Source organism: Homo sapiens, chromosome 10 (genome assembly GCF_000001405.40).
Source record: "Homo sapiens chromosome 10, GRCh38.p14 Primary Assembly".
In the NCBI taxonomy this organism is placed as follows: Eukaryota; Metazoa; Chordata; class Mammalia; order Primates; family Hominidae; genus Homo; species Homo sapiens.
Window position 1 is genome coordinate 95,747,002 of NC_000010.11, and position 27,186 is coordinate 95,774,187.

At 39.8% G+C, this 27,186-nt stretch overlaps 1 protein-coding gene and 1 long non-coding RNA gene across 33 annotated transcripts in view, besides 3 other annotated features; one reads left to right on the plus strand and one right to left on the minus strand.

Annotated features, from left to right (window-relative positions):
* Positions 1-27,186, plus strand: part of ENTPD1 (ectonucleoside triphosphate diphosphohydrolase 1) — a 183,082-nt gene that overhangs the window by 52,817 nt on the left and 103,079 nt on the right. For 13 of the 32 annotated variants that reach the window (NR_199793.1, NM_001776.6, NM_001440937.1 and 10 more), the window contains exon 1: positions 9,162-9,254. The exons of 7 other annotated variants lie outside the window; for them this stretch is intronic. Coding sequence is in view for 13 of the 25 variants with exons in the window: in NM_001776.6 (NP_001767.3) it covers positions 9,239-9,254 (16 nt within the window). In the remaining 12 variants the exon portion in view is untranslated. Of the gene's footprint in view, positions 1-8,650; positions 8,766-9,161; positions 9,255-9,562; positions 9,776-27,186 lie in introns of those variants that run through there. 12 more of the 32 variants (NM_001312654.1, NM_001440935.1, NM_001164178.1 and 9 more) reach the window with 3 other exon arrangements.
* The window catches only part of ENTPD1-AS1 (ENTPD1 antisense RNA 1), a 337,030-nt gene continuing 316,048 nt past the window's right edge, over positions 6,205-27,186 (minus strand). Inside the window, exon 6 of the long non-coding RNA NR_038444.1 lies at positions 6,205-9,713. This is a non-coding gene — a long non-coding RNA (ENTPD1 antisense RNA 1). The remainder of the gene's footprint in view (positions 9,714-27,186) is intronic.
* Positions 8,723-9,022: an enhancer, noted in NCBI's record as "active region_3804". NCBI's record gives its function as "activates an Ori minimal core promoter by ATAC-STARR-seq in GM12878 lymphoblastoid cells {active_cell/tissue: GM12878}" and the evidence as "EXISTENCE:reporter gene assay evidence [ECO:0000049][PMID:35858748]".
* Positions 10,353-10,412: a silencer, noted in NCBI's record as "silent region_2650". NCBI's record gives its function as "represses an Ori minimal core promoter by ATAC-STARR-seq in GM12878 lymphoblastoid cells {active_cell/tissue: GM12878}" and the evidence as "EXISTENCE:reporter gene assay evidence [ECO:0000049][PMID:35858748]".
* Positions 20,946-21,025: an enhancer, noted in NCBI's record as "active region_3805". NCBI's record gives its function as "activates an Ori minimal core promoter by ATAC-STARR-seq in GM12878 lymphoblastoid cells {active_cell/tissue: GM12878}" and the evidence as "EXISTENCE:reporter gene assay evidence [ECO:0000049][PMID:35858748]".

Genomic DNA, 27,186 nt, shown 5'->3' on the forward strand with positions numbered 1-27,186 from the left:
TTGGTTTGTAGGGATCATAAAAAAGATGGGGCATGGATCTATTGCTGGTAGGAAAATAATTTTGAATTCCTGAGATTAGATTTGTTAATTGCCATATAACATGTAACATTTTACCCCAAGATTTTTGAAGTATTGCGATTTACCATATCTATGGCATCTCAATTATAAAAATCCATTATTTTACAGTCTCCTTTTAACCTTGAAATTGACCATGAGCATCATAATATTTTGATTCAAATCAAAATGTTCAAATGTCATAATATTTTGAACACTTTGACATACGTTATGAAGAACCTCTTCGTATATTCATCTATAACTAAAGTTGAATACATAAACACAGGCATTCTTGGAATTGGCAAAACATGTCATTTCATACAATAGTTACTTTGGGCATTTATTTTAGGATACGTAAAACCAGAGTACCACCTCTCATGAGTTTTATCAATAGAATTCTGTTTTAATGGAGAACTGGAAACAATATAGAGAACAGAATGCTCATCTTCCACCCTATCCGACTAGCTCTGTCCTTTCTGTCCCCCCTATCTGGCCCCTAATGATGCAGAAACTACCATTACTACTTAGTCCAATTTATGTGGTTCCTGCTTGGTCACTGTTGGGTTTATGGAGTGTGCCTTAAACCATCAAACCACAATAGCATATTGCATATTGGACATTGTGTATGGTCCTTCCTGATTTCTACATCTGATGTTAAGTTCCACAGGGAAATCTAAGGAAACCTTGATATTGCTGCCTGATTATTACACAACAGACAAATTGCATGGTGAATATACTTTTCTTGCTTACACTGGTTTAACAGTTTTTTTTGGCTTTGATCAGTTTATTGTTCAATTACTTATATTTTTCTGGCAAATGATTTTTTTTTTTTTTGAAGTGGAGTCTCGCTCTGTCGCCCAGGCTGGAGTGCAGTGGCACCATCTCGGCTCACTGCAAGCTCTGCCTCCTGGATTCACACCATTCTGTCACCTCAGCCTCCCAAGTAGCTGGGATTACAGGCATGCGCCACCATGCCCGGCTAATTTTTTTTGTATTTTTAGTAGAGACGGAATTTCACTGTGTTAGCCCGGGTGGCCTTGATCTCCTGACCTCGTGATCCGCCCACCTCGGCCTCCCAAAGTGCTGGGATTACAGGCGTGAGCCACCGCACCCGGCCCAAATTATTTCTTTTTTCTATTTGCCCCTAAAGTGAAATAGCCTATTTTGTGAGTATCATCTTGCCAAATTATAGCATTATTTTTAACTACCCAAGTCCATTTTGCATATGTCTACTGACTCAGGAAATATTCAGTTACATTTCTTAAATAACAGTAATAATACCCCATATAACCACTGCATATCATCAAATAATCTCCCACTTTTTCACCAGGATTCTTTTTTGCCTTTTATTGCAAAAAATTTCAAACATAGAAAGTAGAGAGAATAATAAAACATATCCCCATATACCATCCAGCTTCAGCAGTTATAATGTCATCCCTAATCTTGTTTTATCTGTACCTCACCCATTCCTCCTCTTTTTGAAACTAATCTCAGATTTCATCTGTACATATTTCTGTGTGTGTCTCCAGCAGATAAGGGCTTTGGAAAAATTATAGCCACAATACTACTATCATACCTTAAAAGTTAACAGTTCTATAATATTATAAAATATCTAGTCAGTTTTCAAATTTCTTTGATTTTCTTTAAGTTTCTTTTACATTGGTTTGAATCAGAATTTCAAGGTCCTGGTATTAATTTTATTGGTATATCTTTTAAATCTCTTTTAATTTATAGGTAACTCATTCTCTTTTTTCTTCTCTGCAGTTTATTTGTTCAAGAAGTTGAGTTGTTTTATTGATTGTTTTAGTCTAGTCTCCTACAAACTGGATTTTACTGATTGCATTCCTGTTGTATTTTTTTAACGTGTTTATCCGTGCCCTCTTTTCCCCACAAACTGGTATTAGGTTTAGAAGCTTCCATTTTTGGGAAGACAGCTTCAGAGGATGTGATGTGTGCTTCCATCAGAAGGCAGAGAATGAATGTTTATACCCCCTTTTGTTATGTGAACAGTCATTGATGATTATTGTTTATGTTCATTCCTTTGTGAGGTATTGCAAGATGGTGATACCCAAATGCTACCAATTTTAGTCTTTCATTATCTGGAATACTTTAAAGACACTTTTCCCCATCAATGATTTTGTTGTCCTGGGGTACATTTTGTGCAGCAAAGGGAGGTTGAGTGTTGCTATTATCCCCCTTGTGTGTTTTCACAATAATGAATTCGTTCTAAAGGTGAACAGTGATTTCTTCATAGGGTCATTATGACTATGTGGATCTCAATATATCTGATACATTTCAATCCATTGCAGTTATTCTTTTTATTGCTGCTCAAATGTCTTCTTTTCTTATACTTTGGCCAGTAGGAGCCACTTAAAGTTAGCTCCTGAATCCTTTTGACACAACCCTAGTAATTTTAGATAGTGTCCTTGCTTTCTGGTATACCTCCTGCCCCAGACTTGGTTAGCTATTTTTCCAAAGGGCCTTAGGCCATTTTAGTAGAAAATAGCATTTACAAATAGCCATCTTGGTGCTGGGATAGAAGGTAATGATTTAGTAAAAACCTATAGGGAAGGAGGGAATGAGCCATGTGGATATTCGGGAGGACAGCATTCCAGGCAGAAAGAACAGCATATGCAAAGACTTGGAGGCTAGAGCTGAGGGAGCAAGAAGAGGACAGTAGTAGGAAAGAAATAGAGGTGACCAACTTCCTGGTGGGAAGTTGGAAGGACTTTGGCTTTTCTTGGGGTGAGATGGAGCCTTTTATAAATTTTGAGCAAAAGAGTTCCATAATCTTTTGTTTTGTTTAATTTTTAACTGAATTATTATAGTTTCTGGGTTGAAAATAGGCTGAAGAGTTTGAAGAGTAGAATCTGGGAGGAGACCAGTGAGGAGGCTATCACAATAATACAGGATACAGGTGAGAGATGATGTGGCTTGGATCAGTGTGGTAGCAGTAGAAGTAATAAGAAGAGGTCAGGTCCTGGATGTATCTGGAAGATAGGAACCGCTGAATTTGCTAAAGGATTAGACTTGGATTGTAAGGAAAGAGGATTCAAATGTGACTCCAAGGTTTAAGGCCTGAGATGTTAATGAAATTATAAAACATGATAACACGAGTGGCATCTCTTTTGTGGGTCAGCACAGTGTTTGTGTCTGTGGGAAAGGAGCGGGGATGGGTCAGGCAAAACTTCACGGGGGATGATGTGGTTTGGATATTTGTCACTTCCAAATTTCATGTTGAAATGTGATCCCCAATGTTGGAGGTGGGACCTGGTGGGAGGTGTTTGGGTCCTGGGGGCAGATCCCTCATGAATGACTTGGTGAAAATGAGTTCATTTGAAATCTGGTTGTTTAAGAGTCTGGCACCTCCCCTTTCTCTCTCGTGCTCCCTCTCTTGCTATGTGATGTACCAGCTCCCCCTTCACCTTCTGCCATGATTGTAAGTTTCTTGAGGTCCTCACCAGAAGCAGATGCTGGTGCCATGCTTCTTGCACAGACTGCAGAGCCATGAGCCAATTACCTCTTTATAAATTACCCAGTCTCAGGTATTTCTTTATTGCAATGCAAAAATGGCCTAACACAGGGGACCAGATATTTGAGTCATGAAAGATATATAGGAGGACCAGGTGGATAAGAGGGGAAACAGCATTCTGAGCAGGGTAATAGCTTGTATACATTCAGAGTTGTGGCCAGGCGCGGTGGCTCACGCCTGTAATCCCAGCACTTTGGGAGGCCAAGGTGGGCAGATCACGAGGTCAGGAGTTCGAGACCAGCCTGGCCAATATGGTGAAACCCCATCTCCACTAAAAATACAAAAATTAGCCGGCCATGGTGGCACGCACCTCTAGTCCCAGCTACTTGGGAGGCTGAGGCAGGAGAATTGCTTGAACCTGGGAGGCGGAGGTTGCAGCGAGCCAAGATAGCACCACTGGACTCCAGCCTGGGTGACAGAGCGAGACTCCATCTCAGAACAAAACAAAACAAAAATTCAGAGTTTTATAAGGATTATGGGTCCTGGAATTAGATTCAGTTTTTGGAGTGCAGGAAGCCTATAACAGGAAATGAGTTTAGAGAGGTAGAGAGAGTCCTTACATATTCGATGACAGGAATTTAAATTTTATTTTATGCATGATAAGGAGACTAGAATTTTTAAAGTCTGCCAATGACATTATCAGATATCGATTTCAGAAAGATGAGAGAGTATGCACTATGGCAGAAGTGACGAGAATGGAGAGAGGAGATGAATTTGAGAGATCTTAAGGTATAGAAACAATTGGATTTGGTAAACAATAAGATGTGGGATGTGGGGAGGGGTCTAGGAGGACCCTGAGGTTGCTGGGTTGTGTGACTAGGTGGATGGTAGTGCCATTATCTAATGTAGGGGTTGGGCGCAGTGGCTCACGCCTGTAATCCCAGGACTTTGGGAGGCCGAGGCAGCCTATCACCTGAGGTCAGGAGTTCGAGACCAGGCTGGACCACATGGCAAAACCCTGTCTCTCCTAACACAAAATTAGCCAGGCATGGTGGTGTGCACCTGCAATCCCAGCTACTCAGGAGGTGGAGGCACAAGAATCGCTTGAACCTGGGAGGCAGAGGTTGCAGTGAGTCAAGATCGTGCCACTGCACTCCAGCCTGGGCGACAGAGTGAGACATCGTCTCAAAAAAAAAAAAAAAAGTAGGGAATACTGGTACTGGATGGGAGCAGATTTGGAAGTAAAGATACAGAGTACAGTTTGGATGCTAAGTTTGAGCTGCTTGTGGGATATTCTCTTGACACCCAGTAGGTGGATGGAAATATGGATCTGGTGCTCATGGGAGTGGACTTGGCAGAAATGTAAAGGCATAAGAAGTTATGACCTAGGTAGAATAAGTGAAGTAGGGAGAGAAGGCAAAGGGTGAAGGTCTAGGGAATACCAACATTTACAAGACACAAAAGTTGACTGAAAAGGAGCCATCATACACAGATGGAGGAGGAAAATCAGACATGAGGGGGGTTCTGGAAAATAAGGAGAGATCAATTTTCAAGAAAGAAGGAAGGCCAACAATGGCCCATGCTACATAGATCCAAGAAGATAAAACACAAAAATTGGTCTTTGCTTTACAGGCCATTGGCAATCTTAGGGCAGTTTCATTGGCATGGTGCGGTGAGAAACGGGAATGCAATGGAAGGAGGAGTAAATGAATGAGGAGAGAATGGAGGTGATGAAGGAAGGCAAAGGTAGACCATGGTCTCAAGTAGCTTGTTTGTGAAGGAGCTGTTTTTGTTTTAATTAATTTTTTAAAAATTGTGATAAAATAGACATAAAAGTTACTATATTGCTGGGCCCAGTGTCTCACGCCTGTAATCCCAGCACTTTGGGAGGCCGAGGTGGGCAGATCACCTGAGGTCAGGAGTTCGAGACCAGCCGCCTGACCAACATGGAGAAACCCTGTCTCTACTAAAAACACAAAATTAGCTGGGTGTGGTGGTGCATGCCTGTAATCCCAGCTACTCGGGAGGCTGAGGCAGGAGAATCACTTGCACCCAGGAGGCAGGGGTTGCGGTGAGCCGAGATGCTGAGATCGCGACATTGCACTCCAGCCTGGGCAATAAGAGCGAAACTCTGTCTCAAAAAAAAAGTTACCATATTAATCATTTAAAATTTATTTTTATTTTTGTAGAGATGGGGTCTTGTTATGTTGCCTAGGCTGGTCTCAAACTCCAGGCCTCCAGACAACCTACTGCTTCAGCCTCCCAAAATGCTGGGGTTACACGGTGAGCCAATGCACCTGGCCCATATTAATCATTTTTAACAGTATACTTAAGTATTTTTAAGTACATTCACATTGTTGTGCTGCCAATCTCAAGAATTTATTCATCTTGCAACACTAATAATTCATACCATTAAACAACAGAATTTGTTTTTAAGAATGAGAATCACTTAAATATTTTATATGCATAGGGGGATGAACCGGTACAGTGAAAGAGGATGAAGGTGTAGGAAAAATGAAAATTCTACCATTCTAAGAACTTTATAAGACCATTTCATCATTAAAAGACAGACAAATATCTTTACCCCTTTCTGACAACTCCTTCCATCTTTCTGAGTGCAGTTTTAATTTTCTACTTTCTATTACAAAAAAAAACAATAAAATTGATGATAATTTTTTGTTGAGAAAGACGATTTATTTTTTAAGATAAATTCTGAGGCCTTTAGAAAGATACACACAAACTCCCATCTCTTTTATAATTATTCTTGTATGAATTGGTGATAATATATACTTAACCATAGTATTTTCATGATGCTGAGGAGGGTGCGAACCTGGACAACGTGATTAAATTGTAGCACAGAGCATATTACCATAAAAAGCATTAAATGTTGTCAAAAGGCTCATGTAATATGAATTAGGGGTTAAAACTATGTTTCTATTACTCCATATTCAGTTTGGATGAACTTCAAATATTTATGAAGTGCTAGTTACTATAATGAGATTTTACCTCTCCTGGTTAAACCAGAAGTTGGGTACTAGAACAATTTACTTTTTACTAACTCTTTCTCTCCCTGATGAAATGTAAAGAGAATGAGACAATTGTCAAAGTAACCTTTTGTCGACAACGTCTGATACAACATGACTGAAGTGACCTTGAATTTTAATTTTGTTTAAAATAGAGAACTGTGGCTAGGCACTGTGGCTCACACCTGTAATCCTAGCACTTTGGGAGGCCAAGGCAAGCGGATCACTTGAGGCCAGGAGTTTGAGACCAGCCTGGACAACATGGTGAAACCCAATCTCTACTAAAAATACAAAAATTAGCCAGGCTTAGTGGTGCGCATCTATAATCCCAGTTACGCGGGAGGCTGAGGCACAAGAATCACTTGAACCTGGGAGGCAGAGGTTGCAGTGAGCCAAGATCACGCCACTGCACTCCAGCCTGGATGACAGAGTGAGGCTCTGTCTCAAAAAAAAGAATGTAAGAACGTAGTAAAATAGGCCAGGCATGGTGGCTCACGCCTGTAATCCCAGCACTTTGGGAGGCTGAGGCGGGCGGATCACCTGAGGTCAGGAGTTCGAGACCAGCCTGACCAACATGGTGAAACCCCATCTCTACTAAAAATACACAAATTAGCTGGGCAAGGTGGCGGGCGCCTGTAATCCCAGCTACTTGGAGGCAGAGGCAGGAGAATCACTTGAACCCGGGAGGCAGAGGGTGCAGTAAGCTGAGATGGCTCCATTGCACTCCAGCCTGGGAGACAAGAGTAAAACTCTTGTCTCAAAAAAAAAAAAAAAAAAAGAACCTAATATCCTAATGTAATAAAGTAGAGAACCGTTGCCACAGCACCCACCAAAGTGTGTCTCTCATTGACAAGCTCAGGTACTTGTTTGTCTGTTTCTCCTGCCTACCCCTCAGCCACTCTGGATCTTCCCTTTGATCATTCTTTTCTCTTTCTAGCTTTGATGTTTTGGTTTCCATTCTGTAATTCGCACACTATTTTGTGGACATGCTCTTTTCAAATTTCTCTCCAAAACAATAGTACAAAGGCAGTCATAAACCAATTGTTGGTTTTTACAAAAAATCCCATCATATCACCAAAAACCAGTTTTATCATAACAGGATGAATATCAGACCAATATTCATTATTAGAGATGTAGTCTAAACTGACTCGGGAGAAGACATCCATTGAGTCTTTCATTCAGTGTAATTAGTTGTTATCATACATGCAAAATCCTATAACTATAAAGCATTTCAGAAATAAAGTATTGTTAAACAGCTCCAAATTTATTAAAGTATAAAAAATGTATTGAGTATATACCATGTGGCACCGTGCAAAGTAACAGAGATGCCTAAACTAAAAGGTTATCCTTTGTCCTTATTAAAGTATGACTGAAAGCTCGCTGGAGAATATAGTTTCTACATAGAGTCAAAACAGTCCTTCGGGCTCACAAATTTAATGATTTATATGGTATAACTGGCTTTAGATACAAATTTACATGCCAGACAAGCAATGTAGAAAAATCAAGAACTAGGAAACAGGAAAACAGATCTACATTTCTGCTTTGCTGCAATTCATTCATTTTTTTCAACCATTCATCAAATATTTATTGAGAGCCCATGCTGTGAGAGAAACTGTATTAGGTGCTGGGGAACATGGTAGCAAATAAGAGAGACCATGTATGTGAGCATGAGCAGGTGGCTTAACCTCTCCACATCTCTAACCTCTTTTAGACTCAATGTCTGAGGTATCTTTCAGACCTGAAATGCTAAGGTTTGCAACAGCCTTGTGGAGGGAGAAGCTGCCAAGTCGCCTTGGGACTTGAGGACTTACCTTCCTTTCAAAGGATTAGCCCTTGTTTTGATTTCAAAATAATTTTGTTACACAGTTTAAAAATAATTTGGTCAGGCTCTCATCTACATTGGGGTAATCTTGACGGTCTGGATGTGGTAATTCATGCTCATTAGACTTCAAAGGTAGGAAGTCAAAGTTGGGAAATGGTGGATGACTTTCATCAATTCATAGCCAGGCAGCGGTTCCCATTGAGCAGCTCCTCTGTGGTTCCACCCAGCCTTCCAACCAATAACGCAGCGTCTCCTGCAGGAAACTCATCGCTTGGGTCACCTGTTGCTCTTTGCTCTAATGAGCCTTGAGAAAGGATTGCTGGTCATGGGACCAGAGGCTTTATGGGGAGGGAAGAACTGTTCTTGACTTTCAGTTTTTCGAGCGGGTTTCAAGGTAACAACTTTCTTATTATCTAGCTTCATAATTGCAGTAAGGAATAGCTTTTTTTGCTTGCAGCTGAGATGACTTTTTCAAGGGAGAAAAAGGGATTTCTATAACGAAGAGAGGGAGAGAGAGATGAAGAGGGAGGGAGTAAGGGAGAGAGGGAAGAAGGGAGAAAGAGAGAGAGATTTGAATATACATTGCTTCAAGGATGCAAAAAATTACAACCTGGAAAAGGCTTCGAGTAACTTTAGGAAAATGAGCTGCTGGACTCCTCAGTCAATCTGTCCTTTCTAGTCAATGAAAAAGACAGGGTTTGAGGTTCCTTCCGAAACGGGGCCGGCTAATTTAGCCCCTCCCACGAGCCCAAGGGTCTGTTATATCTCTGTTTCCTTGAGGACCTCTCTCACGGAGACGGACCACAGCAAGCAGAGGCTGGGGGGGGGAAAGACGAGGAAAGAGGAGGAAAACAAAAGCTGCTACTTATGGAAGATACAAAGGGTAAGACCAAAATTGATTTGATCTGAATCCTTAAGAAAAAAAAAATAGAAGGAAAAATAAAAGCCCAGACCAAAAAGCAAGTACTTGAAAGCTGGAGGCAAAAAGCCCTGAATGAACTTTCCCACCCTCTTCCTTCTGAGAGGAGGCAGAGAAAGAGCTTTGGGAAACTTTTTAGGAAGCAGAGTCCAGGGTTGCAGTCAAGGGTGGCTCTAGAGCAAGCTGGAGGGGCTCATGAATATTCATTATCAATTTGTATTCAGAGTTGGTTTTTTTAGAGGCAAATGACTTTTTCAGTCCCCTTGCAGTTTAAGAGGCAGCTGCCTCATCTGCAGTCCGGACTCATCTAGCCTCGGGTCTGTACCTCAGGGTGTTTGCTTGAAGATGCTGGGCTCTGCGTGTAGATTTGTTTTGTTCTCGAATTTCTTGCATGCTTTCCTGTTGTGAAATTAGCAAAGGCTTCTTTGCTGGGAACAAGACAGAGAAGTTAATGTGGCACAAGGCTGTCACAACAGGACCCCAGAGTATGTCTTTCAAAATGCTGAAAGTTTCTTGAGATATGTGGGGGAGTTTTATGTGGGGGACAGAGTGGGGGACGGGGACGGGTAGAGGGAGGAAATAGAATAATTCTATCTTAAAAGGGCAGGTCACATCTGACTACATTTAGATTTTGTCTAAAAACTACAAGAGCAGCCTGGTTTGCACAGATGGTGTGCAGTCTCTATCTTTTACCTCTTTTGGGCATTTTCTGCCAAGACGGAGAGCCAGCTGCTTGCCAGCGTGTGAGAGCCAGGAAGAATCTCTGCAGCAGTGAGGGAGTATAGGGTTGTAAACCTCCTTCTCCTCCTTCTTTATCATCTCTAACTTCTAACATTCCCACATGCTTATACCGTATAGAACATGGAAGAATAGCATGAGTAGCCAACATATTTCTTAATACTTACAATAATGATAGCTGTTAATGTTGACTAAGTCTTTATTCTGTGTTGGGAGCTATACCTAGCATATTACATGTGCTACTTACTTGTCACATGAACCTTACAAGTGCTATCATTGACATTCCCATTTTCCAGATGGCATAATTGAGGTACTGAGAGGATAACTTGCCTTGAGATCTCATAGTTAGTAAGGGCTGAGTGTGGATGGAGGTGGTCTGAGGCAGGGCTGGTGGGCTTTTCCACTCCCCAATACTGTTTCTCTGCTTTTTCTGGTGCCCTGACATTGTGGATTTCAGGTTTGCAAATCCTTGAAGCTACTGGGGAAGTGATACTGGTAAAATCTTAAGTCTGTGAAGGAATTTGTACTTTGCACTCAAGTTCACATACATTTTCCTCATTTGGTGCTCATGGCCATTCTCTATGAGAAGCAGGTATTGTTATTATGGTCTTTTGCAAAAAGGAGAAACTGAGGTCAGAAGGGGTTAGTTTGGTGACACCAGTCACAGCTAGTTGTCAAAAGTCTGGACTGGGGGGCTGGATGTGGTGGCTCGCACCTGTAATCCCAGCACTTTGGGAGGCCGAGGTGGGCGGATCACCTGAGGTCAGGAGTTCGAGACCGGCCTGGCCAACATGATGAAACCCTGTCTCTACTAAAAATACAAAAATTAGCTGGGTGTGGTGGTGTGCGCCTGTAGTCCCAGCCACTTGGAAGGCTGAGGTAGGAGAATCACCTGAACCCGGGAGGCAGAGGTTGCAGTGAGCTGAGGTTGCACCACTGCACTCCAGCCTGGGCGAGAGTGAGACACTGTCTCAAAAAAAAAAAAAAAAAAAAAAAAAAAAGATTTGGACTGGATCTGAAACCCTCTGCTTCTGGTTTTTCTTCCAACCTACAGAGCAGACCCAGTCATCTCTGAACGTCTGTCCCCACCCCAAGCTGCGCCTCATTGAGTTGCTTTCAGTTCCCCAAAGGAACTGCATCTTTCCTCAGACTGAAGCTAGGCACTTTCTTCTGTTTTAAGGGCCTATCTGGTACTCTGCTTCCCCTTTAGTCTGGAGCCGAGCTGCCTGGGTTTGAATTTCAGCTCCACCATTTACTGTGTGCCTTAGTTTCATCATCTGTAACATGAAGAGAATAACAGTAACATCTATCTTACAGGGTTGTGGTAAGGACTGAATGAGGGATTCATGCAAAGTTTTTAGAACAGGGCCTGATATATAGTATTGCTAAATAAATATTAACATTTGCTATCACTGCTTGAAGCCTCATATTGGGTGTTATTCCCCTTTAAGCCTTCTCTAATCCTTCAAGTCTAGATTAGCCCCCATCTTGGATGCTTCTATAGTACCTCATCAGTTATGCCTAAGGTGGCACTCATCATACTTGTCCATGCTCCTGCCCTCTGCATCACCTTCTCTCCCTTCCAATTATATTTTCTGTATTCACCTTTAGATCTGCAGTGTCTAGTGCAATTTTATTTTTAGTCTCTAAACTTGTGGCAACTTTCTCATCAGTGTGGGCAGAGTGGTGGGAGAGGGGCCTCAGTCATGATAGGGGTACAGGAGGTAGCCACAGAGGATGACCATATAGCAGTCATAGAGGGCCAGAAGCCACGCAGGAAGTGGACATATGCTGAGTACTGATTCAGGAAGAGCACATGTCATTCAGCAACCAATGGTTAAGGTGTCAGGTTTCAATGACCTTCTCCATGAGGTCTGTGAGGTCCTCTGACGTACTTATTGTGGGTCAGCTTGGCAGCCACATTCATCAGCCCCTGGGACAGGTTCTTGAATTTGGTGTTCCTCTCAGAGAACATCCCAAGCTTTCCTTAGAAGGTGGTACACACCAGGCTCTTGTGCAAGTCCAAAAGGTCCTTGTCAGCCATTAGCACCTTGAGTTCCCTAATGGGAACTCAATAAATATTTAGTAAGTGAAGTATTATTATTTTAGCTGATGCTCATTTGAGACCTTCAAGAGGCTTGTTTAAAAGGGGACCTTTGAGTTTGCAGTAGGGTTCCCCACTGGTACATATAGATCTTTGGCACAATCTGTAAAGACGTCCCTCTATGTGGATACACTGAAAAACAAAATGCATCCCTCTGGGTGGATGATTTTCAGAGCTAATGTAACCCCATGCCAGGGCACCCTGTTGGGCAAGTGAAGCTCTGGCTGAACTTCAGCCCCTACTCCCTGCTCAGCCAAGGGCCAAACTGGAGATTTCAGATGCCTCATAGCCAACTTTGCTTTCTCTGAACAGAACATCTGGTTCCATAAATAGTGTCTTTCTAGCCCTACTTTATAGCAACCTTGCTGTCTGAGATAATGTACTCTGGTAATGAAATAAAAACAAACACTACAGAAGTTGGCCCTGGGAAAAATCATAAAGTACGCTATGGTTTTTTCCAGCACCCTCCCTTTCCTCTTCCTGGCATACCTTCAAACCATTTTGACAAATATTATTGTGTGTCTACCATTTGTAAGTTCCCATGCCACACAGATCCTTGGATAAACAGTTTGCTCACGGTCTAGTGGGGAAGCCTAATAATAATAGCTGGGAAGTGCTAATAATAATAGCTAACATTGATCATTTATTATGTGCCAAACATTGTAATGTGTGTTGTCTCATGTAATCTTTACAAAAATTCCATGATATTGGTTTCTGCATCTTCCAGCTGTGGAAGGAGGTCATTTGGTTAAGGCCACACAGCTAATAATAGGCAGAGGGGAAATTTTGACTGATGTGGTTAGGCTGCAAAGTCTGGGATCCTAATGGATACGTTCTACCTCCTCAAGAGCTGTAATGTAAGTCTAAACAAAGTGCCATGACACAGTGGTGCACGCTTGTAGTTCCAGCTACTCAGGAGGTTGAGGCAGGAGGATAGCTTGGGCCCAGGAGTTTGAGGCTGTAATGTGCTATATTTGCACCTGTGAATAACCACTGCACTCCAGCCTGGGCAACATGATGAGACTTTGTCTCTAACAAAATAAAAATAAAAAATAATAATACAAGAGAAAGTGCCATGAGAAGCAGAATAGGGAGCGATGGCTTCTGGAGAAACTTCTCAAAGGATAGGACACTTCAGTTGGATCTAGAAAGATGAGTAGAATCTGGTGCCCATGGCAAGCCCCTTCACCCTCCCAGCAGTGCTTGAAGATCTTTTCTCTCTTTTACCTTAACTATAGTGTAGATTTAAGAGTAAAAAGCCCCCTTTTTTCCCAAGCTCTGAGCAGTCAACCTACTTACATGTCCATCTTGGAGATTTGAAGGCAGAAGTACAGAGTTTATCCTTCACTATGGGTCGTGTAATCAAATAAGCCTTTACAAAGCAATCAGCTGCACATTAAATGATTTCCTTAATCATGATTGCACTGCGGGGTAATAACATACATCTGGTAAACAGTTTTTATAAATCATTGTGATTGGTATTGCCTTTACTTGGTCAAATTGCATTTTGAGAGTGCTTTCCCTCTTGTGTTGTCTTTTTGGTTGTTTCTCCGCTCTTTATAACTGGTAATGGTGCTGAAGGGCACTAGTGTTTAATCGCACCAACTACTGTCCAGAGGTGATGGGCTCCATCTGTGTAGAGTGAAGGTGAGGCCTGGAGTAAATTACATAGAGTTTATTCTTTTTTTTTTTTTTTTTTTTTTTTTTTTTTTTTGAGACGGAGTCTCGCTTTGTCGCCCAGGCTGGAGTGCAGTGGCGCGATCTCAGCTCACTGCAAGCTCCGCCTCCCAGGTTCACGCCATTCTCCTGCCTCAGCCTCCCGAGTAGCTGGGACTACAGGCGCCTGCCACTACACCCGGCTAATTTTTTGTAATTTTTAGTAGAGACGGGGTTTCACTGTGTTAGCCAGGATGGTCTCGATCTCCTGACCTCATGATCCGCCCGTCTCGGCCTCCCAGAGTGCTGGGATTACAGGCGTGAGCCACCGCGCCCAGCCATAGAGTCTATTCTTTTAAGTACTTCGGAGGAAGGCCAAAATCAAGGGCAGCCCCTGTGGTGAAGAATCACTAAATGTCTTGATGGTTTGGTGAAGTGTGCAAGAGTGGAGTCACTTGTTTGTCTTGGTGATTTTGGTGTGTGTGTGCATATGTTCTGAAGCAGTGCTTCTCAAACTTTAGCATGAGTATGTATCATTAGAGAACTTGTTAAAAATGCAGATTCTGATCCAATAGCTCTGAAGTAGGTCTACATTTCTAACAAGTTCCCAGGCGATGATAATGCTGCCCCTCCACAGACCACACTTTGACTGGCAATGTGGCAGGGTCATCGCATGCCTTAGTCTCAGGGCTTATTTTGGTACTAAATGACCAAGCTCTTCCCACCCTCTACTCCCTCACCAAGCTGCCACTTCTAGTCACTGGTCAGGTGTCATTGCAGGATGATGGGAAGCCTAATTCATTTATTCATTCAGCAAATATATGCCCTAGAACAGGAAATTGAGGCTCCCAATTTGCCAAATCCTAGAAACTGGAATCTTCAGCACACAAAAACTACTGTTACACAAAAAGGCCTTGTGTTAGATTTCCTGCATGTCTCCACCTTTTCTCCATGGCTCCAAGCTTCCCTAAACTTCCCTTATTCTCTGCCTTCAACTTGAGAAGTACTGGAGCAGAATGTGTGGCTGCCTGCAGAATCTTGTGCTGGGTGTTGGAGTCCCAGGGAGCTAGAGGTAGCAGGGACTCAGGGCTCTGAGACTGGCAACAGTGTGCCTGAGGCATTGTCTACGCTCTGCAGAAGAAAGGTGGGAATAATTCTAGGAGCAAAGCAAGGAAAGTGGGTGCAGAGAGAACCGATGGAATTTCTTTAGGCTTGAAAACTTGAGGGGGTTGTGAAGAGAAAATAAGTTGTTGGAGAAAAAAATCCAGAGTAGAGGTTGTCTAACATGTATGAAACATGCTGTTTTTGTTAGATCATCAAAGTGACTTTAGAGACCGACAGTGGCAGTACATGCCCTGTTACACAAAGAGGTGTTTCCTTCCATAACCACTGCTTGGTTTAAAAAAATTTAAAAAGAAGCAAAAAAAAAAAAAAAAAAGAAGTGTTTCCTTTTGATTCATAGGAAGGATGTAAAGCATTGCTTTATGTCCGTGAGGATACAAGTAACATAGCACATGCCCATTAAAGAAAACATGATACTATAGATTACAGTAGGGAAGAAAAACAATCACTTGTAATATTTTGGTGCCATTTCCTGGCAGTTTTTTTTTTTTTTTTTTACTATGCCTGGGTTGTTTCTCTCATTTGGCATTCACTTGAATAGGACCTTGAAAAGTTATGAGATGGCACCATGATCATTAGGCTATATATGCAGTTTTAAAGCCTGGTTTTACTGTAGCAGTGAAGCACATGTATTTTCCATTTTATAGCGTGGTCTTTGTTAGCGTAATTTTTATAGTCACATAGTTTATTTAACAGTTCTCCTGTTATTGAATATTGAGGATGTTTCCATTTCCAATAAATGTCTTTGTGCAGGAAGTTTTTTCCATATGTAGGATTGCACTCTGAGGACAGGATCCCAGAAATAGACTTACTAGATTGAAACTTGTTAATGTTTTTTAAAGTTCTTGATTACTGTTGCCAGGTTGCATTCCCAAAGGTTGGGCCCTTCATGCTCTCAAAAGCAGTTCCTGTTTTGTGGCATCCCTGACAGCTTTGGTGTTTTTGTTTTTAAATAATTTTATCAATTTTTAGATTGTTTTAGTTTGTATTTCTTAATTACAGTAAATTTGACATTTTTCACGATATACTTCTTTTGTATACTTTTTACATCCTTTTCCTGTTTATTATAATACTTATTTGGATTTGATGTTTTTAATCAACTTATGTGCATGCTTTATCATATAAAAGTATTCAAGTTTTCCTGCCATACTTATAATAGTTTTTCTGTATTTATTTATTTATTTATTTATTTTTGTTATGACGGGGTTTCACCATGTTGCCCAGGCTGGTCTCAAACTCCTGGACTCAAGTGATCTGCCTGCCTAGGCCTCCCAAAATGCTGGGATTACAGGTGTGAGCCACCACACCCGGCCTCTGATAGTTTTTCTGAATCTGTTCTTACTGTGAATAGATCCAACACATTTTTATATGTGGTGTCATCGTTTTCTAAATAGTTTGACATCACATTTTTATTCTCTGTAGCCCAGAATATTACTTCTAAAAGATTGTAAATGATTTTTATTTTTGTTTGCCATTATAATTAATTTTTCATTTTTTCCATGATGGTTAGAGAATATGGCTTTATAATTTCTGAGGTTTCCTTGTAACTAAGCATATGATGGGTTTGTGTAAATCTATGAACACTTGTGAAGAAGCTGTATGTTTTTAGGATATAAAATTGGATATTTATTAATCAATCCAGTCTTTTCAATTATATGGTAATTTATCTCCAACCATAATATTCTCTGATGGGTAGAGAGGAGCTTAGTCCTACCAACACCTTGATTTCAGTCCAGTGAAACTGATTTCAGCCTTCAGACTTCCAGAACTGTAAGAGAATAAATGTGTCTTGTTTTAAACCACTGAGTTTTTTTATGGTAATTTGTTATAGCAGGCAAAGAAAACGAATACGGTAAGTGTTTAATGAAAGGAAGTGCTGGTGGCTTTAGTTAGTTAACACACAGGCTTATAGTGGACATTGGTTCGCACACTATTCTAATCACCTTACAGATGTTAATTCAGTTCTCCAACCATCCAAGGAGGTTGGTATTATTTACTGTTAAATAACTCAATTGTTAAAGTCTCTCAGTTGGTAAGTGTTGAAGTTGAGATTCAAATCCATAGTTGTTGATCTTATTATCTGGAGACACAATTCACATATCATACGATTCACCAACTTAAAGTCGACAATTCAGTGGTTTTAGTATATTCACAGGATTGTGTACCACCACCACAATCAATTTTGGAACATTTTATCACCCTGAAAAGAAACCTCATACCTATTAATGGGCACTCCCCATTTCCTCCCTACATGGCCCCCACCGTTCTGAGTCCTAGGAAAACACCAATCTACTTTCTGTCCCCACAGTTTTGCCAATTCTGGACATTCATTTCATAGCATATATCCCATTGAATGTATATACCACATTTTATTCATCAGTTGATGAATATTTGGATTGTTTTTACTTTTTGACATTATGAATAATGCTGCTGTGAGCATTCATGGACAAGTGTTGGTGTGGACTTGTTTTTAATTTCTTTTGGTTATATACCTAGGAGCAAAATTGCTGGGTCACTTGTATGTCTATGTTTAACCATTTGATGAACTGCCAGACTGTTTTCCAAAGTAGCTGGACCATTTACATTTCCACCAGCAATATATGGTGATTCCAATTTCTCCACATCCTTGCCAACACTTTTTATTCCCTATCTTTTATTATAGCCTTCCTAATGAGTGTGAAGTAGTATCTCATTGAGGTTTTGATTTGTATTTCCCTGATGGCTGATGGTTTTGAAAATCTATTCATGTGTTTAGTGGGCATTTGTGGATCTTTTTTGGAAAAATGCCTGTTCAGATCCTTTGCCCATTTTTTTTTTTTTTTTTTTTTGAGGTGGAGTTTTGCTCTTGTTGCCCAGGCTGGAGTGTGATGGCGTGATTTTGGCTCACTGCAACCTCCACCTCCTGAGTTCAAGCAGTTCTCCTGCCTCAGCCTCCGGAGTAGCTGGGATTACAGGCATGTGCCACCACACCCGGCTAATTTTGTATTTTTAGTAGAGACGGGCTTTCACCATGTTGGCCAGGCTGGTCTCGAACTCCTGACCTCAGGTGATCCACCTGCCTCGGCCTCCCAAAGTGCTGGGATTACAGGCGTGAGCCACCACGCCTGGCCTCTTTGCCCATTTTTTAAATGGGTTTACCTTTTTATGATTGAGTTGCAATGATTCCTTATATATTCCCTTTTCAGATATATGATTTCCAAAAATTTTCTCCCATTCTGTGGGTTGTCTTTTCACTTTCTTGATAGTGTTGTTTGCAGCACAAAATTTAAAAGTTTTAAATTTTGATGATATTCAATCTATAGTTTCTTTGGTTCTTATGGTTTTGTTGTCCTATCTAAGAAACTATTGCCTAATCCAAAGTCATGAAGATATACATCTATATTTTCTTCAAAGAGCTACATAGTTTTAGCCCTTGCATTTAGGTTTTTAATCCACTTTGAGTTAGTTTTTGTATATGTTATGAGGTAGGGGCCAAACTTCATGTTTTTGTGTGTGAATATCTAGTTGTTCCAGCACCATTTGTTGAAAAGATTATTATTTTCTCCAGTGAATTGTTTTGGCACCCTGTTGAAAATCAATTTCCCATAAGTGTGAGCGTTTTTTTCTAGACTCTCAGTTATATTCCATTTCTTTATATATCTAGCCCTATGTCAATTCCACATTTCTTGATACTACAGCTTGGTAGTAAGTTTTGAAATCAGGCAGTGTGAGTCCTCCAATTTCATTTTATTTTTTAAATATTGTTTGGGGTATTATGGGTCCCATTAACTTCCATATGAATTTTAAGATCAGGTTGTCAACTTCTGCAAGGAAGCCAGCTGAGATTTTGATAAGATTGCATCAACTGTAAATCTATTTAGAGAATATTGCCATCTTAAAAATATTAAATCTTCTAATCCATGAACATATGATGTCTTTCTGTGTATGTAGGTCTTACTTAATTTCCTTAAGTAATATTTTGTAGTTTTCAGAGTGTAACTTTTGTATTTCTTTTGTTAAATTTGTTCCTAAGTATGATTTTCTTTTTGATGCTATTATAAATATAATTGTTTTAAAATTTCATTTTTGGTTTGTTATCATAGATTTACTTTTTTTGTTGTTGTATTAATTTTTTTATTTTAAAATGACTTCAAAATTACAGAAAAGTTACAAGAACAATTCAAAGAGCATTTCACAAGTATTCACCAATTTAAAAAATTCTGCCACATTTATCATTCTCTCTTCCCTTTTATATCTCTCCCACACACAACAGTCACATATAGTATTGTTCCTGAACCATTTGAGAATAAGTTGTATATATTATGTTCCTTTACCCCTAAATATTTCAGTATGTATTTCCTAAGAACAAAGATTTTCTCTTATATAACCACAGTACAGTAGTCAAACTCAGGAAATCTAACACTGATAGAATACTTTCAATTGTAGTCCATAATCAAATTTTGTTAATTGGTCAAACAATTGTTATCATAGATTTACTTTTAACCTCAATTACGCTCAATACTATATTCCTCATAAGTTCTTAGATTCTCTAACAGTGCTTCAAATAATAATGACTTCATGCTCTTAATGCAATTAAGATTCATTTAATTCAATACAATTGTCTGTTGTCTATTTACCTCTACTCATATTTTGTATGTTTTTGCAGTTCATATTTTGATAAAATATTGAAATAACTCTTTTTATCTACTTTTTTAGTCCTAAATTCTGTTCCCCCTTCTCATTTGGCTGATATATTTTGTCCATCTTTATTTTTAATCTTTCTAAATCCAATTTGATTCTCTGTTTTAATAAAGGAATGTAAACAGTTCACATTTATTTTATCTGCCTTTTCTCATTTTATTCTCTTTAGTGTTTAATGTTTTTTTCTGTTATGCTTTTTGCTATACAGACTCTGGACTTTGTTATTTGTTTTTATATTTCCACAAAGCTGTGAATAACGGACATCTTACTTTTAATTGTACTTGTAGCAATCTTTTTTTTTTTTTTGAGGCAGGGTCTTGCTCTGTCACCTAGGCTGGAGTGCAGTAGCATAATCATAGCTCAATGTAACCTTGAACTCCTGGGCTCAGGTGATCCTCCTGCCTCAGCCTTCTGAGTAGCTAGGGCTACAGGCGTGCACCACCATACCCAGCTGATTTTTTATTTTTTGTAGAAACAGGGTCTTGTTATGTTGCCCAGGCTGTGGAAATAAAAGAAAAGCATTCCATCCTGGCTAACATGGTGAAACCCCATCTCTACTAAAAATACAAAAAAAATTAGCCGGGCGTGGTGGTGGGCGCCTATAGTCCCAGCTACTCGGGAGGCTGAGGCAGGAGAATGGTGTGAACCTGGGAGGCAGAGCTTCAGTGAGCCGAGATCATACCACTGCACTCCAGCCTGGGAGACAGAGCGAGACTCCATCTCAAAAAAAAAAAAAAAAAAAGAAAGAAAAAAGGAAAGCAAAACATTCCTGAGCTTAAATTTATCTTAATATCAAAGTGAAATTAGTAATTTTTGACCCCATTATGAGAGAAGGATTAAGAGTTTTTGTGTCCCTGTGTCCTCCTTTTTCTTATTTTAAATATTTAATTTGATAATATTATAAATTCAAATAGTAAAAATTATGTTAGTCACTTATTTCACAGGATTTTTTCTCTTTATTTGGATATTAATAATCAAATTCATCCATCCATGAATTTAATGAATTTTAATATAGTTCTTATCTCACTATGCCTTTCCCCATTCTTGGGACCCTAATCTTGATTCCTTTCATAATGATCTAGTAAGCATATTAATTTTTAGAAAGGGGATCAGTGTTATAAAAGAGAGACAACTTCTCTTAAATATAGCAATCTTTCCCCCTCAAGTCATTGGAAATATTCCTCCATTGTCTTGAGAAGTTTGATGCTGTAAAGAAGTTGCTATAGTTTGAATATGTCCCCCCAAAAGCATATGTTCAAAACTTAATCCCCAGTATAACAATGTTGGGAGGCAAGACCTACTGGAGGTGCTTGGGTCATGAGGGCTCCACCCTGATGAATGGATCAATGCCAATAATAAAAGGACTTGAAGCTGTGAGTTTGTTCTCTTGCTCTTATGCTCTCTTGCCCTTTGCTTTCTGCCATGGGATGACACAGCAAGAAGGCCCTTGCCAGATGCTGGCCCCTTGATCTGGAACTTCCCAGCCTCCAGAACTGTGAGCCAAATAAACTTCTGTTGTTTATAAATGACTCAGTCTGTTGTAGCAGCACAAAACAGACTCAGAAGTTGAGGACAACTGTTTTTTAGCCTGAATGGTTTTTGTTCCCCATTTCTGAAATTTACAACTTTCACAATAAGATAACTGGGTATAGACTTCCTTTCAAAAATTTTTGCCTGGGATATGGTAAACCCTCTTGATTTCCAAATTTAGGACTTATTTAGGAGCAAGAAAGATTTCTTCTGTCACAACTTTGATTAATGCTGCTGTTTTGTTTGTTTGTTTTTTTCTTCTTCAGGGACCTATTTGGATCTCTTATCTCTAAATTGCCTGCCTGTGGCCTGCCTGCCTGCCTCCTTCCCTCTTTCTTTCTCTTTCCCTCTCTTTCTTCTTTCTTTCTTTTCTTTTTTCTTTCTTTCTCTCTCTCTTTCTTTCTCCTTCCTTCTTTATTCCTTTCATTTTCTTCATTTATTTTTCATTGCATTCTGAGACTATTTTCCTAAGAATTTCCTCTATATCACTGATTCAATTTTCCTTAACTATCTCCCATATAAACTTTCATTCAGTTACAGTGTTTTTGGCTTCCATGAAATCTTTTATTTTAGCTTGTTTATGGCAACATCCTCTTGTACAGAGTTCAAAAAAACAAACGATTTCCATCTATTCCTGCTTCATATCTATTTTAGAGGCAAGCTTTTCCTTCATTGTTCTTTCTATTTTCTTGCAAAATTTATTTAATCTAAGGCCTTATCCTTGAAAGAAAAGAGATTCCTTTTGTATGTATGTATGGATGAATGTGTTTTTCACCTTATCCTAAAAAGTATTTAAGGATGTATTAGGGGAGATTTATCCCAGTCTAACGTTGATATGGATGGAATGCATAGTCTGCCCATGGCTCCCTTAGGTTCTGTTCAGGTCTTGGAAAAATGCAATCACCAAATGCTAGATCCCCATCTAAGTATGAGAAGACATCTAAATCCTCCAGGCAGAAAAGTTCACTCAGACCCAGGAAAGAAGGCAAAAGTCTCGCCATGTACAGTAGTCATGTTCCAGAAGATAGAGTGACTAGGGCTGTCAGAGTTCTGTCAATATGGTTGTCCAGAGGCATAAAGGCATTCAGGAAGGAGCCTTTGCTCCTTCCCCACTGAGAGCAAACCTCTGTTGAATTAGGGAGTGAGCTCCTGTTCCACTGCTTAGCAGTTTTCCTCAGCCTTTTTTTGGATATCATTTCTAAGATCTCTTTAGACTTGTGGTAGCATATGGCTGCTAGTGTGGCTGTTTCTGTGAAGAACATTCCACGCAGAGGAACCAACATGTACAAAGTCCTGAGGAGAAATTAAGTGTTTAAGAAACAACAAAGAATCCAGTGTGGTTGGAGTGGAGAAAGCAAGGAGGTGAGAGCTGAGAGGTAGGTTTGGCCTAAATAGAATGTCTAGCATCCTGCAGGCCACTGTATAGCCTTTGGCTTTTACTTATAGAGCAATGGGAAACCACTGTGAGTGTTGAGCACAGGAGTGACTTTATCCAATTCACGTTTTAATAGGATCACTCTGGCTGCATTGTAGAGAACAGACATAAAGGGATATAAGCAGAGAGACTAGTCGGGAGACTACTGCAGTAATACAGGTAAAAGATGATGGTGTCCATTTCCAGGTAGTAGCAGTGGACACGGTGAAAAGTGATTGGATTTGGGATCTAATAGAGCCAATAAAATCTCCTAGTTGGATTTAGATGGGAAACAAGAGAGGAGGAAACTTGACTCCAAGGTTTTGGGCCTTCCAAGAAACTAGAAGGATGGAGTTGCCTTGAGATGAGAAGACTGTAGGAGGAATAGTTTTGAGTGGGAAGATCAGGATCTCGGTTTTGGGTGTGTTAATGTTCCGATGCCTATTTGACATGGGTCTTTCAAATAGAGCAGATGGATATACAAATTTGGAGTTTGGGGAAGAAGACTGGACTTGAGATACAAATTTAGGTCATCAGATGGTGTTTAAACTGAGTGAGACAGGATTTAAATCCAATGAGACTGGGTAAGTGAGTGTAACTAGAAAAAAAAAAAAACGACAATGCTCTAAGGACTGAGCCGGATGCTCCAACTTTAAAGGTTGGGGATAGGAAGAGAAACCGTCCAAGAAGATTGAGAGAGAGAGAGAGAGTGAGTGAGTGAGTGTGTGTGTGTGTGTGTGTGTGTGTGTTGGAGTGGGGGAAGGAGGATAAACTAGGTAGGTGAGTATGGTGTCCTGGGAGCCATCGGAGAAAAGTGTTTCAACTGGGTCTAACTGGGTCTAATGCTGCTCATGGGTAAAATAAGATGAAACTGAGAATTGACCCTGGCATTTGGCACAGTGAATGTTGAAAGTTGTTAGTAAAGATTTCACAGGTAGAGGAAGTCTTTTAGGGATGGAAATATTTACAGAGAGGTGTGTAACTTCCTGGTGCTGATGTCCATCCAGACTGCAGACATTTTCTGTGAAAGAAAAGCCAGAGGCCTTTCAGGGCCAGGAAGTATGGTCTTTTTCAATTGTGTTTTTCTCAAAAAGCTTGCTCTAAGATTCACATTGTGAAGACAGCCCAAACTCCAGGCCCCTACCTACTGTTACTCTTCCCAGAACTGCCTTATGGCTTCAGAGAGCAGATCTGTTTGCAAAACTAATGGAGGATTAGGGCTGGGGAGGAGTAGAAGATCACATTTCAAATGTGGTGTAGGTATCTATGCATTTGGCATTTTAAAAAGACTCAGTGGATTTTAGTGCTAGAAGAGACTTAAATATCCTCAAATCTCTTAATTAAAATGAAATCAATTGCATTTGCTGTTTTAATTACAAAAATAATACAAGTTTATAACAAAATTTAAAATATATAAAGAATAAATAAGAAAATAAAAATTTGTGTAAGTTTACTACTCATAACTCTGTCATATGACTTTTTAGTCTTTCTCTTGTTCCCTCTCTTTGGCTTACTTTTTATTGTTTTTTAGTATTTATTTTCTACAAATTTGGATCCATGTTATGCATACCAATTGTAATCCTCAATTTTACTTTACAGTTTGTCGTGACAATTGAATGGCTTTTACCATATGATCTTTTAATGGCTGCATATAATATTCCATCATTTGAACATGTACCATATGTCTATTTAACCATTTCCTTTTGGGAAACATTTGAGAAACTTCCAGTTACTTTCCAAATTATTTTTCAAAAACATTTGCAAGTTATTTTCCAAATATATAATTATATTATAACTTCTGTGGATTAATCTCATTTCACATCTTTGACAGTTTCTTTAGGATCAATTCCTAAAAGTAGAATTTCCAAATTTCTTTCCAAATTTCAGCAGTGTATGAGTGATAGAAACATTGAAGTCCTGAGGTGGGAAGGAATGTGCTCATGTTGCACAACTGGTTGGTGGCTGAGTGTGCCCAGTTCCCTTGCCTTTTTGAAAGAGCCCCTCTCCTTTTCTTCCTACCATGCTTTCTATAGCATTTCAGCCTCCTTTTAGTGATGTCCCGTATGACTCCTTGGACCTTGATGACATTTAACCTTTTCCTGAAAACTCTTGGCTCCCACTTATCCCAAACTAGTCCCCCAGTGTATCTCTGGGCATGAACTCTGAACAATTAGAGATGTCCTTTTTCATGAGAGAAGATGTACACTTCTCAGATACATTTTCTCTTTAGGGGTACAAATGTTTTCCCATTAGTCAAGAACTGCCACCCATTAGATATTCCTTCATGTATCCGAAGGCTTCCTGGAGTTTTCCTGACTTCTTTTTAGCTTTACTGATCATATATTTTCTCTCTAAAATCTTACTCACTGTAGTACAGACATACTTTAAAGTTATTGCAAGTTTTGTTCCAGACCGCTACAAAGGAAGTAACGTGATTAAAAGAGTAGTATGAATTTTTGGTTTCCCAGTGCATATAAAAGTTATGTTTACACTATACTGTATCTATTAAGTGTACAATAGCATTATGTTTAAAAAAATGCACCTTAATTAAAAATACTTTATTGCTAAAAAAATGCTAACAGTCATCTGAACCTTCAGTGAGTGGTACTCTTTTTGTTGGTGGAGAGTCTTGCCTTGATGTTTATGTTGCTGACTTATCAGGAGTTGGTTGCTGAAGGTTGGAGTGGCTGTGGCAATTTATTAAAAGAAGACAACAATGATGTTTACCACATTGAATGACTCTTCCTTTCGTGACAGATTTCTCTGTAGCATGTGGTGCTGTTTGATAACATTTTACTAACAGTAGAACTTCTTTCAAAATTGGAGTCAATCCTCCTCCAGCACTCCTGCTGTTTCATTGAGCAAGTTTACATAATATTCTAAATCCTTTGCTGTCATTTCAACAATGTTCACAGTATCTTCCCCAAGAGTAGATTCCATCTCAAGAAACCACTTTCTCTGTTCATCCATAAGAAGCAACTCCACAGCTGTTCAAGTTTCATCATGAGATTGCAGCCATTCATTCACATCTTCAGGCTCCACTACTAATTCTAGTTCTCCTGCTGTTTCCATCACTTCTGTAGTCACTTTCTCCACTGAAGTCTTGAGCCCCTCCAAGTCATTCATGAGGGTTGGAGTCAACTTCTTCCAAACTCCTGTTAATATTGGTATTTTGACCTCCTCCCATGAATCATGAATGTTCTTAATGGCACCTAGAATGGTAATTTTTGTCCAGAAGGCTTTCAATTTACTTTGCCCAGGTCCAACAGAAAAATCATTATGTATGATAGCTATAGCCTTATTAAATGTATTTCTTAAATGAGACTTGAAAGTCAAAATTACTTTGTTTTGTGTTGCTATAAAGGAATACCAGAGACAGGGAAATTTATAAAGAAAGAAAGTTTATTTGGCTCACAATTCTGATGGCTTGAAAGCTCAAGATTGGGCATCTGGCGAGGGTTTCAGGCTGCTTCCACTCTTGGAGGAAGGTGAAGGGGAGCCAGAGTGTGCAGAGATCACATGGTGGGAGAGGAAGCAAAGTATAGAGAGGCCGGTGCTAGCCTCTTTTTAACAACCGCTCTCATGGGAACGAATAGAGTAAGAGTTCACTCACCCCCAAAGAAGGTCATTGATCTATGCATGAGGGATCTGCCCCCATGACCAAACACCTCCCATTTGGCCCCACCTCTAACACTGGGGATAAAATTTCAGTATGAGGCTTGGAGGAGACAAATATCCAAACCGTAGCACTCCTTGATCCATAGACTGCAGAATGGATGTTGTATTAGCAGGCATGAAAACATTTATCTTCTTGTATATCTTCATCAGAGCTCTTGGATGACTAGGTGCATTGTCAATGGACAGTAATATTTTGGAAGGAATTTTTTTTTTCTGAGAAGCAGACATCAACAGTGGGCTTAAAATATTCAGTAAACCTTACTGTAAACAGATTTATGGTCATCCAGCCTTTTTTGTTCCATTTATAGAGCACAGGCAGAGCAGATTTAACATAATTCTTAAAGGCCCTAGGATTTTCAGAATGGTCAATTAATAATGGCTTAAACTTAAAGTCACTAGCTTCATTATCCTTTAACAAGAGAGTCATCCTGTCCTTTGAAGCTTTGAAGCCATCCTTTTTTATGGCTGCATAGTATTCCGTGGTGTATATGTGCCACATTTTCTTAATCCGGTCTATCACTGATGAACATTTGGGTTGGTTCCAAGTCTTTGCTATTGTGAATAGTGCTGCAATAAACATACATGTGCATGTGTCTTTACAGTAGCATGATTTATAATCCTTTGGGTAGATACCCAGTAATGGGATTGCTGGGTCAAATGGTATTTCTAGTTCTAGGTCCTTGAGGAGTTGCCACACTGTCTTCCACAATGGTTGAACTAGTTTACACTCCCACCAACAGTGTAAAAGCGTTCCTATTTCTCCACATCCTCTCCAGCGTCTGTTGTTTCCTGACTTTTTAATGATTGCCATTCTAACTGGTGTGAGATGGTATCTCATTGTGGTTTTGATTTGCATTTCTCTGATGACCAGTGATGATGAGCATTTTTTAATGTGTCTGTTGGCTGCATAGATGTCTTCTTTTGAGAAGTGTCTGTTCATATCCTTTGCCCACTTTTCGATGGAGTTGTTTTTT